The sequence below is a fragment of the Homo sapiens genome, chromosome 2 (assembly GCF_000001405.40).
Source record: "Homo sapiens chromosome 2, GRCh38.p14 Primary Assembly".
Classification (NCBI taxonomy): domain Eukaryota; kingdom Metazoa; phylum Chordata; class Mammalia; order Primates; family Hominidae; genus Homo; species Homo sapiens.
In genome coordinates, this window is record NC_000002.12 from 232169056 (window position 1) to 232181858 (window position 12803).

General features: G+C 38.6%; 1 protein-coding gene and 1 non-coding gene across 5 annotated transcripts in view; both read left to right on the forward strand.

The window, feature by feature from the left end:
• DIS3L2 (DIS3 like 3'-5' exoribonuclease 2) overlaps window positions 1-12803 on the forward strand; it is a 382638-nt gene that overhangs the window by 207343 nt on the left and 162492 nt on the right. The gene's annotated exons all lie outside the window — the stretch shown is intronic.
• MIR562 (microRNA 562) lies at window positions 3598-3692 on the forward strand. The gene has a single exon (NR_030288.1). It is a non-coding gene; the product is annotated as a microRNA 562 (primary transcript).

Here is a 12803-nt window from a genome sequence, read left to right on the forward strand (position 1 = left end):
TCAAATGTGGAATTGTAATGAAGGAGGGGGTGCTTGGTGCAAGTGTTTGTGATCATGTGATTTCTTCTGCTCTGAGGTCCACTGCTTTCAAAGAGTTTTTAAAAACAGTATTGATTTTCCTAGGAATGTCAAAAGAAGTAAGATTGAGTCCCAGCACATGCTGAAAAATATGTGCTATATTGAATAAATTAATATACATTTTGTAAACTAATAAAATCAAACCTTTTTCAAACATTTATTTGCACATATTGTTTATATATAGTATATGTCATATATGCCGTATATGTCATATATATATATATACATATATGCCAAGTACTGAGTTAGCCACTGAAAATGCAAAGACAACCAAGGGCCAGCCCCTGTTCTTCAGGTAGACAGATTCGTACTCAGATAAATTACAGCAGACAATGGCAAGTGCTGTAATATAGGTATGAACAGACTGCCAGGGTCATTGGTGCATGAGGTGAGATCTGAGAAATGAGCAGGTATAGAGGGAAATAGAGTGACTAAAGTTGTCTTCATTTTAGTGATAGTCCATGTCTGCAGAAAGGCAGTATGTTCCCTTCAGACTCTAAGATCCTTCTCTAACAGGGCTTGCAAGTCCTATGGTTTGGTCACTTAATCCCCTGTCCTGGGTCATCCTGCCTCAGAGCCTGCAGTGTTACTCTGGCTCTAGCTACATAAGAACTTCTACATACCCGTTTAGGTTTGGTATTTGAACAATTATATTTGGAACAGAAAAGTTCCATCAATCTTTAAACCTCATAATCCAATTATGTCAGTAAAATTCCAGTTTTTTGGTCCAATGGAATTGGGGTAATATTTTGCAAACTGAAGTTGAGAGAAATAGTGTTTATTTTGAAAAGAAAAATGGTCGGTTAGCAATTTTCAAGAAGTTAGGCTTGCATGAACTCCTAGGGGCGATATAGCCCTCCTGATTGGGGTCACCATTTTTCTGGACCTTCAGCTCTAGTCTCTGGAGAGTCCCTGCTTGCATGGCCTAGACCTGTAGCTGTCTTTAGCAGGGCATCTGAGGCTTTAAAAAAGAAAAGCAACATAAGTACTGCAGAAATTTGAGGATCAGGAAGATAATATGTCCAAGGAAACTGCTTAAAGGGGGGTTGCACCAGAAGCTCAAGAAACCCAGAAGTTATTTCTGAGACTGGCTCCAGTTATTTCAAATTTCATTCATATTGTTTTGTTTCCTTTGTTGCTAAACTGGAACAGGAAACCAAAGCCTAAAAGCTCAATTAAAGTGGAAAATGAAAACCTAAATATTGGAGGGGGAAAATACCACACTAAACCGATCTTTATGTTTCTCCTATAGTTAGTATTATTATGGAAGTTTGAATCATGTCACTTTTCAGTAAAACTATGAGTTTCATTGAAGTGGAGGTGGTTTCTATAGCTTTTTACAAGAGAACTTGTGGGTATCTATTTCCTTACTATTCCCTCAATAAAAAGGAAGCCCAGTGACCTCCACCAGACCATTACAAATGTGAAACTTGGCACTTAAAATTGCTTGCTCTAAATTTTCCAATTGCTTTCTCTCTTTTTTTCCCATTTAATGTCGTCCTGCCAACTAGTGATTTTATTATTATAAACAGGACATTGTATTCACTTTTAAGAAGAAATATGAAGCTGGAGGTAAAATTACAAACTGCAGCTTCTCGGCTGCCAAAATAGAAAACAATGAGCTAAAAATACTAAGCACAGAAAGGGGGTTGTGGTAAGAAATATTGAAAAATCTTCAAGATGGAGCTGTTCCAAAGAGACAGAAATTTCCTGTCACTCCAGGTAAAACCAACCTTGAAATAGCAACTTGAAAGGAGAGTCATATAATACTAACCTCTTTCAGGTCAACCCTTTTGTGGGAAAGCTTTCAAACATAACTAACATTAAATGACTAATGATCTTGCTGTTCATCAGGAAGTCCAATATGATTAAATTGCCTTTAGAAGAAGGTTCCCCTGGTAAGACAGTGTGGTAGCATTGAAGGAGCGCTGGAAGTTAGTCCTAGTTCTCCCCAGGGCCTAGCTAGGTGATTTTAGGCAAACCAGTTAAATCTGGGGAAGTGGAGAGCCGTGAGCAATTTTATCTTTTGTGAAATGGATTTTTGACCAGATTAGGATTTTTCAAAACATGTTACTAGGTCATGAATAGGTGTCATGCAGAAAAAGGATCTGTGGGCAAGTATTTTTGGAAAACAGTGTGTTAATAGATTTCTTAGAGTTTCTTCTCATGGATTATCTTGTGGAACTAGTATTCCTTAGAATACATTTTGCAACTTTCTGAACTAGGTATTTCAAACCCCTCTAGCTCTAACAGAGCATGACTCTGTATTTGAAATGTCTTTTCTGAGTTATTTAGAGCTGTCTCATTCTTGGATTTGAAAGAAAATGGTATCCCATCAGTGATTGTCTGCCGCATTTATCTGACAAATAACTATCAACTGTGCCCCACCATGGACCACCCAGGAAAGATAATTACGCAGGAAATTCAAGGGTTGTGCTTTAAATCTCAGTTCTTCGATGGCCAAGGGAACCCCTTCTTCCCTTAGCTGGAGGGAAGCAAGATTAAATTGTTTGGCATCAAATGGGGAAGCTGTCATTGTCATTTGAAACTCCTGGCAGTAGTATTCCTTTCATGTAAATCCCAACTCACTGTGAAATTACAAGAAATGCATAGATAGTAACCAGGATGAATGGGCCCTAAAGTAGATACACAACTGGACCTTCTTAATTGTAAGTATTTAGTACTTCATCAGCCCATAAAATTCATGTTGATAAATAGCACCACTCTCAGAAAAGACAAATACTCAAAGATCAATAGATTTTTGTCTGAACCAGGAGGAAAAATGCCTACTGGCAAAAGACAATATTTGAATTTATTCCCTAGAAATATTTTTATAGCACTGTAGAAATATGAGTGCATGGGAAAGATAATTTCTACATCTTCTAAATAAAATCTGTTTGGAAATTATACTATAATGATATTTAAAAATTTCATTTTGTGGTATAGATGGTCTAAGATTTGGAATAAACTGGAGTATAGAGATAACTAAATGTCAGGGTGGCAAAGTCTGTTTTTTATATTGAGATATTCAAATACCACAAAATTAATCATTTTAAATTCAGTGGTTTCTCGTATATTGGTAGATTTGTTGAACCATCACCACTATCTAATTCCAGAACATTTTTGTCACCCCAAAAATCAATTCCATTAGCAGTCACTCCTCATTCCCTCTCCCCCCAGCTTCTCACAACTACTCATCAGTTTTCAGTCTCTGTGGATTTCCCTGTTCTGAACATTTCATATAAATGGAGTCATACAGCAAGTTGCCTTTGGTAGCTGACGTGGTTTACTTGACATAATGTTTTCAAGGTTCATCCATGTTGTTAAATATATCAGAACGTAATTCCATTTTATAGCTGAATAATATTCTGTTGTATGGATATTTCACATTTTGTTTATTCATTAGTTGATGGACATTTGGGTTGATTCCCCAGCTTGACTATTATGAATAATGCTGCTATGAATATTTGTGTACAGGTTTTGGTGTGGACATTCAGTTATTTTGGGTATACACCTAGGAGTGAAATTGCTAGGTCATATGGTCAGTCTACTTTTAGAGTAATTGTGAAACTGTTTTTCAAAGTAGCTGTACCATTTGCACTCCCTGTGGCAATGTATGAGGGTCTCAGTTGCTCCATATCCTAACACTTGTTATCTGTATTTGTGATTATAGCCATCATTGTAGGTGTGGGGTAGTATCTCATTGTGGTTTTGATTTGCATTTCTGTCATGACTAATGAGACTGAATGTATTTTGATGTGCTTATTGGTCATTTGTATATTTTCTTTGAAGAAAAATCTACTCAGATAGTATCTATTCAGATCCTTTGCCATTTTTAAAATGGATTGCCTTTCTATTGTTGAGCTATAAGTGTAGTTTCTGTATTCCAAACACTGGTCATTTATCAGATATATGATTTGCAGATATTTTCTCCTACTTGTGGGCTGGCTATCTTGCACTTTCTTGATGGTGTTCTTAGAAGCACAAAGTTTCAAAATTTGATGAAGACCCGTTTAGTCTGTTTTTTCTTTGGTTGCTTGTGTTTTTGGTGTCATATCTATAAAAACCATTGGCGAAGATCACAAAGAGTTAGACATATGTTTTCTTTTTGTTTGTTTGTTTTGAGATGGCGTCTCTGTTATCCAGGCTGGAGTGCAGTAGTGCGAGCTCAGCTGCAACCTCTGCCTCCCTGGTTCAAGCGATTCTCCTGCCTCAGCCTCCCAAGTAGCTGGGAGTGCAGGCACCCATCACCACACCCTGCCAATTTTTTTGTGTTTTTATAGAGATGGGGTTTTGCTATGCTGGGCAGGCTGGTCTCCAACTCCTGACCTCAAGTGATCCACCAGCCTCAGCCTCCCAAAGTGCTGGGATCATAGGCATGAGCCACCGTGCCTGGCCAACATAAGTTTTCTTCTATGAACTTTATACTGTTAGTTGTTATATTTATGATCCATTTTTAGTTAATCTTTGTAAATGGTGTGAGGTATGGGTCAAACTTCATTTTTTTGCTTGTGGATAACCAGTTGTTTCAGCACCATAAGAAAAACTTGTTGACAAGATGATTCTTTCTTCATGAAATTGTCTTGGCATTTCTTGTCAAAAATTATTTGACCATAAATGTATTGGTTTATTTCTGGACTCTCAATTCTGTTCCATTGATCTGTATATTTGTCTTTATGCCAGTACCACACTGTCTAAATTATTGTAACTTTGTAGTAAGTTTTGAAATTGAGAAGTGTGATTCTTCCAACTTTGCTTTTTTTTCTTTCAGATTTTTCTACTATTCTGGGTTCTTTGCATTGCCATATATATTTTAGGATCAGCTTGTCAATTTCAGGAGGCACTCAGGATTTTCATAAGAATTGCTCTGAGTCTGTAGATCAGTTTGGGGAGCATTTCCATCTTAACACTGTTAAGTCTTCCAACCTATGAACATGGGATGTCTGTCCATTAATTAGGTCTTTAATTTCTTTCAATGATGTTTTGTAGTTTTCAGTATACAAGGCTTCTTTGTTAAATTTAATCCTACATATTTATTCTTTTTGATGCTGTTGTAAATGAAATTGTTTTCTTAATTTCATTTCCAAATTATTTATTGCTAATGTTTAGAAATACATTTTATATTTATATATATATCTGGTATCCTGCAACCTTACAAAAATCATTTGTTGGCCGGGCATGGTGGCTCATGCCTGTAATCTCAGCACTTTGGGAGGCCAAGGCTGGTGGATCACTTGAGATCAGGAGTTTGAGACCAGCCTGGGTAACATAGTGAAACCCCGTCTCTATTAAAAATACAAAAATTAGCCAGGCTTGGTGGCAGGTGCCTGTAATCCCAGCTACTCAGGAGGCTGAGGCAGGAGAATCGCTTGAACCTGGGAGGTGGAGGCAGCAGTGAGCAGAGATCACGCCACTGCACTCCAGCCAGGGTAACAGAGTGAGACTCCACCTCAAAAAAAAAAAAAAAAAAAAAAAATTGTTAGCTCTGTTTTTCGTGGATACCATGGAATTTCCTGTATTTAGAAGTTCATGTCATCTGCAAATAGGGAAGTTTTACCTCTTCCTTTCTAATTTAGATGCCTTTTATTTCCTTTTGTTATCCAGTTACTCAAGCTAGGACCTTCTGTACAGTGTTGAATAGAATTAATGGAAGTGTGCCTCTCTTGTCCTGATCTTGAGGAAGGAAAGCATTCAGTCATTCAGTTTTTTTTTTGTTTTTTTGTTTTGAGACAGCGTCTTGCTCTGTTGCCAGGCTGGAGTGCAGTGGTACAGTCACAACTCACAATTCCAGGCTCAAGTGATCCTCCCAGCTCAGCCTCTTACGTAGCTGGGACAACAGGGCGTGCCACCAAACCCAGCTAATTTTTGTATTTTTTGTGGAGATAGGGTTTTGCTGTGTTGCCCGGGCTGCTCTTGAACTCTTAGGCTCAAGTGATCTGCCCGCCCCGGCCTCCCAAAGTGCTGGGATTACAGATATGAGCTAAGCACTCAGCCCAGTCTTTCAATATTAATTGTAATGTAAGCTTTGGGGGTTTTGTAGATGCTCTCTATCAGCTGAAAGCTTTTCCTTCTAGTCCTGATTTATTGAGTGGTTTTCTCATGGAAGAGTGTTGGATTTTGTCAAATGGTTTTTCTGTCTGTTGAGATAATCCTGTGATTTTTGTTCTTTATTAATCTGTTTCATTGATTGACTATCATATGTTGAGCCATCACATTCCTGGGATAAATTTCACCCTTGTCATGGTGTATAATGATTTTTACATTGCTAGATTTGGTTTACTGGATTCCTTTTTAGGATCTTTGCTTCGTATTTTTAAGAGATTTCAGTCTTTAGTTTTCTTGTGATAACTTTGGTTTTATGTGAGGATAACACTGGCCTCATAGAATGAGTTTTGGAAGAGTTTGTGAAGAATTTGGGGTATAGTTTTTTTTCTTTTTTTCTTCTAGCTTTTATTTTAGGTTCGGGGGTACATGTATGTACGGGTTTATTATATGAGTAAATTGCATGTCTCTATAGTTTGGTGTACAAATGATTTTGTCACCCAGGTAGTGAGCATAGTACCCAATAAGAGGTAGTTTTTTGATCCTTATTCTCCCACTCTAGAACTCATCAGTAAAGCCATCTGGCCCTGTGCTTTTGTGTGTGTGTCGGCGATGGGTGGGGGGGTGGTTTGTTTATTAATTCGGTATCTTTTTTCTTATAGATCTATTGAACTTTTCCATTTTTAAGTCCTCTGCAGTTTATCTTCCTAGAATTTTTTATTTTTTATTTTTAGACGGAGTTTCACTCTTGTTGTCCAAACTGGAGTGCAGTGGTGCGATTTCAACTTACTGCAACCTCCACTTCCTGGGTTCAAGTGATTCTCCTGCTTCAGCCTCCCAAGTAGCTGGAATTACAGGTGCCCACCACCACATCTGGCTAGTTTTTTATATTCTTCATAGAGACAGGGTTTCACCATGTTGGCCAGGCTAGTCTTGAACTCCTGACCTCAACTGATCCACCCACCTTGGCCTCCCAAAGTGCTGGGATTACAGGCGTGAGCCACCGCACCCGGCTTCTTCCTAGAACTTTGTCTTTTGCATCTTGGTTATCTAATTTCTTGGCATACCATTGTTATTAGTATTCCCTTATAATCCTTATTGTTTCTGTAAGATTGTTAGTAATATTTGCTCTTTCATTTGTTAGTTTAGTAATTTGAATCTCTCCCCCTCTCTCTCTGTTTTGGTCAGCTTAGCTCAGGGTTTGTCAATTTTGTTGATCTTTTCACATAGCCAACTTTTATTTTCTTCTTATTCTTTTTATTTCCTTCTCTTTTTTTTTAAATTCTCTTTTTCATTTATTTCTACTCTAATCTTTGTTATTTTCTTTTTTCTGCTTGCTTAGGTTTAGTTTGTTCTTCTTTGGTTTCTTAAGGTGGAAGTTTATGTTATTGAGTTCAGATCTTTCTATGTTTTGTTTTTGTTTTTTTCTTGAGATGGGAGTCTCACTCTGTCGCCCAGGCTGGAGTGCAGTTGTGCAATCTTGGCTCACTACAACCTCCGCCTTCCAGGCTCAAGTAATCCTCTTACCTCAGCCTACCAAGTACCTGGGACCACAGGCATGTGCCACCATGCCCGGCTATTTTTTTTTAATTTTTTAATTAATTAATTAATTAATTAATTTATTATTATTATTATTTTTTAAATTATACTTTAAGTTTTAGGGTACATGTGCACATTGTGCAGGTTAGTTACATATGTATACATGTGCCATGCTGGTGCGCTGCACCCACTAACTCGTCATCTAGCATTAGGTATATCTCCCAATGCTATCCCTCCCCCCTCCCACCTCCCCACCACAGTCACCAGAGTGTGATATTCCCCTTCCTGTGTCCATGTGATCTCATTGTTCAATTCCCACCTATGAGTGAGAATATGCGGTGTTTGGTTTTTTGTTCTTGCGATAGTTTACTGAGAATGATGGTTTCCAATTTCATCCATGTCCCTACAAAGGACATAAACTCATCATTTTTTATGGCTGCATAGTATTCCATGGTGTATATGTGCCACATTTTCTTAATCCAGTCTATCATTGTTGGACATTTGGGTTGGTTCCAAGTCTTTGCTATTGTGAATAATGCCGCAATAAACATACGTGTGCATGTGTCTTTATAGCAGCATGATTTATAGTCATTTGGGTATATATACCCAGTAATGGGATGGCTGGGTCAAATGGTATTTCTAGTTCTAGATCCCTGAGGAATCGCCACACTGACTTCCACAATGGTTGAACTAGTTTACAGTCCCACCAACAGTGTAAAAGTGTTCCTATTTCTCCACATCCTCTCCAGCACCTGTTGTTTCCTGACTTTTTAATGATTGCCATTCTAACTGGTGTGAGATGATATCTCATAGTGGTTTTGATTTGCATTTCTCTGATGGCCAGTGATGATGAGCATTTTTTCATGTGTTTTTTGGCTGCATAAATGTCTTCTTTTGAGAAGTGTCTGTTCATGTCCTTCGCCCACTTTTTGATGGGGTTGTTTGTTTTTTTCTTGTAAATTTGTTTGAGTTAATTGTAGATTCTGGATATTAGCCCTTTGTCAGATGAGTAGGTTGCAAAAATTTTCTCCCATGTTGTAGGTTGCCTGTTCACTCTGATGGTAGTTTCTTTTGCTGTGCAGAAGCTCTTTAGTTTAATTAGATCCCATTTGTCAATTTTGGCTTTTGTTGCCATTGCTTTTGGTGTTTTGGACATGAAGTCCTTGCCCACGCCTATGTCCTGAATGGTAATGCCTAGGTTTTCTTCTAGGGTTTTTATGGTTTTAGGTCTAACGTTTAAATCTTTAATCCATCTTGAATTGATTTTTGTATAAGGTGTAAGGAAGGGATCCAGTTTCAGCTTTCTACATGTGGCTAGCCAGTTTTCCCAGCACCATTTATTAAATAGGGAATCCTTTCCCCATTGCTTGTTTTTCTCAGGTTTGTCAAAGATCAGATAGTTGTAGGTAAGCGGCGTTATTTCTGAGGGCTCTGTTCTGTTCCATTGATCTATATCTCTGTTTTGGTACCAGTAGCGTGCTGTTTTGGTTACTGTAGCCTTGTAGTATAGTTTGAAGTCAGGTAGTGTGATGCCTCCAGCTTTGTTCTTTTGGCTTAGGATTGACTTGGCGATGCGGGCTCTTTTTTGGTTCCATATGAACTTTAAAGTAGTTTTTTCCAATTCTGTGAAGAAAGTCATTGGTAGCTTGATGGGGATGGCATTGAATCTGTAAATTACCTTGGGCAGTATGGCCATTTTCACGATATTGATTCTTCCTACCCATGAGCATGGAATGTTCTTCCATTTGTTTGTATCCTCTTTTATTTCCTTGAGCAGTGGTTTGTAGTTCTCCTTGAAGAGGTCCTTCACATCCCTTGTAAGTTGGATTCCTAGGTATTTTATTCTCTTTGAAGCAATTGTGAATGGGAGTTCACTCATGATTTGGCTCTCTGTTTGTCTGTTGTTGGTGTATAGGAATGCTTGTGATTTTTGTACATTGATTTTGTATCCTGAGACTTTGCTGAAGTTGCTTATCAGCTTAAGGAGATTTTGGGCTGAGACGATGGGGTTTTCTAGATAAACAATCATGTCGTCTGCAAACAGGGACAATTTGACTTCCTCTTTTCCTAATTGAATACCCTTTATTTCCTTCTCCTGCCTGACTGCCCTGGCCAGAACTTCCAACACTATGTTGAATAGGAGCGGTGAGAGAGGGCATCCCTGTCTTGTGCCAGTTTTCAAAGGGAATGCTTCCAGTTTTTGCCCATTCAGTATGATATTGGCTGTGGGTTTGTCATAGATAGCTCTTATTATTTTGAGATACGTCCCATCAATACCTAATTTATTGAGAGTTTTTAGCATGAAGGGTTGTTGAATTTTGTCAAAGGCTTTTTCTGCATCTATTGAGTTAATCATGTGGTTTTTGTCTTTGGCTCTGTTTATATGCTGGATTACATTTATTGATTTGCGTATATTGAACCAGCCTTGCATCCCAGGAATGAAGCCCACTTGATCATGGTGGATAAGCTTTTTGATGTGCTGCTGGATTCGGTTTGCCAGTATTTTATTGAGGATTTTTGCATCAATGTTCATCAAGGATATTGGTCTAAAATTCTCTTTTTTGGTTGTGTCTCTGCCCGGCTTTGGTATCAGAATGATGCTGGCCTCATAAAATGAGTTAGGGAGGATTCCCTCTTTTTCTATTGATTGGAATAGTTTCAGAAGGAATGGTACCAGTTCCTCCTTGTACCTCTGGTAGAATTCGGCTGTGAATCCATCTGGTCCTGGACTCTTTTTGGTTGGTAAACTATTGATTATTGCCACAATTTCAGCTCCTGTTATTGGTCTATTCAGAGATTCAACTTCTTCCTGGTTTAGTCTTGGGAGAGTGTATGTGTCGAGGAATGTATCCATTTCTTCTAGATTTTCTAGTTTATTTGCGTAGAGGTGTTTGTAGTATTCTCTGATGGTAGTCTGTATTTCTGTGGGATCGGTGGTGATATCCCCTTTATCATTTTTTATTGTGTCTATTTGATTCTTCTCTCTTTTTTTCTTTATTAGTCTTGCTAGCGGTCTATCAATTTTGTTGATCCTTTCAAAAAACCAGCTCCTGGAGTCATTGATTTTTTGAAGGGTTTTTTGTGTCTCTATTTCCTTCAGTTCTGCTCTGATTTTAGTTATTTCTTGCCTTCTGCTAGCTTTTGAATGTGTTTGCTCTTGCTTTTCTAGTTCTTTTAATTGTGATGTTAGGGTGTCAATTTTGGATCTTTCCTGCTTTCTCTTATGGGCATTTAGTGCTATAAATTTCCCTGTACACACTGCTTTGAATGCGTCCCAGAGATTCTGGTATGTTGTGTCTTTGTTCTCGTTGGTTTCAAAGAACATCTTTATTTCTGCCTTCATTTCGTTATGTACCCAGTAGTCATTCAGGAGCAGGTTGTTCAGTTTCCATGTAGTTGAGCGGCTTTGAGTGAGATTCTTAATCCTGAGTTCTAGTTTGATTGCACTGTGGTCTGAGAGATAGTTTGTTATAATTTCTGTTCTTTTACATTTGCTGAGGAGAGCTTTACTTCCAAGTATGTGGTCAATTTTGGAATAGGTGTGGTGTGGTGCTGAAAAAAATGTATATTCTGTTGATTTGGGGTGGAGAGTTCTGTAGATGTCTATTAGGTCCACTTGGTGCAGAGCTGAGTTCAATTCCTGGGTATCCTTGTTGACTTTCTGTCTCGTTGATCTGTCTAATGTTGACAATGGGGTGTTAAAGTCTCCCATTATTAATGTGTGGGAGTCTAAGTCTCTTTGTAGGTCACTCAGGACTTGCTTTATGAATCTGGGTGCTCCTGTATTGGGTGCATATATATTTAGGATAGTTAGCTCCTCTTGTTGAATTGATCCCTTTACCATTATGTAATGGCCTTCTTTGTCTCTTCTGATCTTTGTTGGTTTAAAGTCTGTTTTATCAGAGACTAGGATTGCAACCCCTGCCTTTTTTTGTTTTCCATTGGCTTGGTAGATCTTCCTCCATCCTTTTATTTTGAGCCTATGTGTGTCTCTGCACGTGAGATGGGTTTCCTGAATACAGCACACTGATGGGTCTTGACTCTTTATCCAACTTGCCAGTCTGTGTCTTTTAATTGGAGAATTTAGTCCATTTACATTTAAAGTTAATATTGTTATGTGTGAATTTGATCCTGTCATTATGATGTTAGCTGGTGATTTTGCTCGTTAGTTGATGCAGTTTCTTCCTAGTCTCGATGGTCTTTACATTTTGGCATGATTTTGCAGCGGCTGGTACCGGTTGTTCCTTTCCATGTTTAGCGCTTCCTTCAGGAGCTCTTTTAGGGCAGGCCTGGTGGTGACAAAATCTCTCAGCATTTGCTTGTCTATAAAGTATTTTATTTCTCCTTCACTTATGAAGCTTAGTTTGGCTGGATATGAAATTCTGGGTTGAAAATTCTTTTCTTTAAGAATGTTGAATATTGGCCCCCACTCTCTTCTGGCTTGTAGGGTTTCTGCCGAGAGATCCGCTGTTAGTCTGATGGGCTTCCCTTTGTGGGTAACCTGACCTTTCTCTCTGGCTGCCCTTAACATTTTTTCCTTCATTTCTACTTTGGCGAATCTGACAATTATGTGTCTTGGAGTTGCTCTTCTCGAGGAGTATCTTTGTGGCGTTCTCTGTATTTCCTGAATCTGAATGTTGGGCTGCCTTGCTAGATTGGGGAAGTTCTCCTGGATGATATCCTGCAGAGTGTTTTCCAACTTGGTTCCATTCTCCCCATCACTTTCAGAGTGACACCAATGAGACGTAGATTTGGTCCTTTCACATAGTCCCATATTTCTTGGAGGCTTTGCTTGTTTCTTTTTATTCTTTTTTCTCTAAACTTCCCTTCTCGCTTCATTTCATTCACTTCATCTTCCATCGCTGATAGCCTTTCTTCCAGTTGATCGCATCGGCCACCATGCCCGGCTATTTTTTTTAATTTTTTAATTTTTTAATTTTTTGAGACAATGTCTCACTCTGTCACTCATGCTGGAGTGCAGTGGTGCGATCTCAGCTCACTGCAACCTCCACCTCCTGGGTTCAAGTGATTCTCCTGTGTCAACCTCCAGATAGCTGGGATACAGGCGTGCATCATCACACCCAGCTAATTTTTGTTTGTTTGTTTGTTTGTTTTTTAGTAATGATGGGGTTTCACCATGTTGG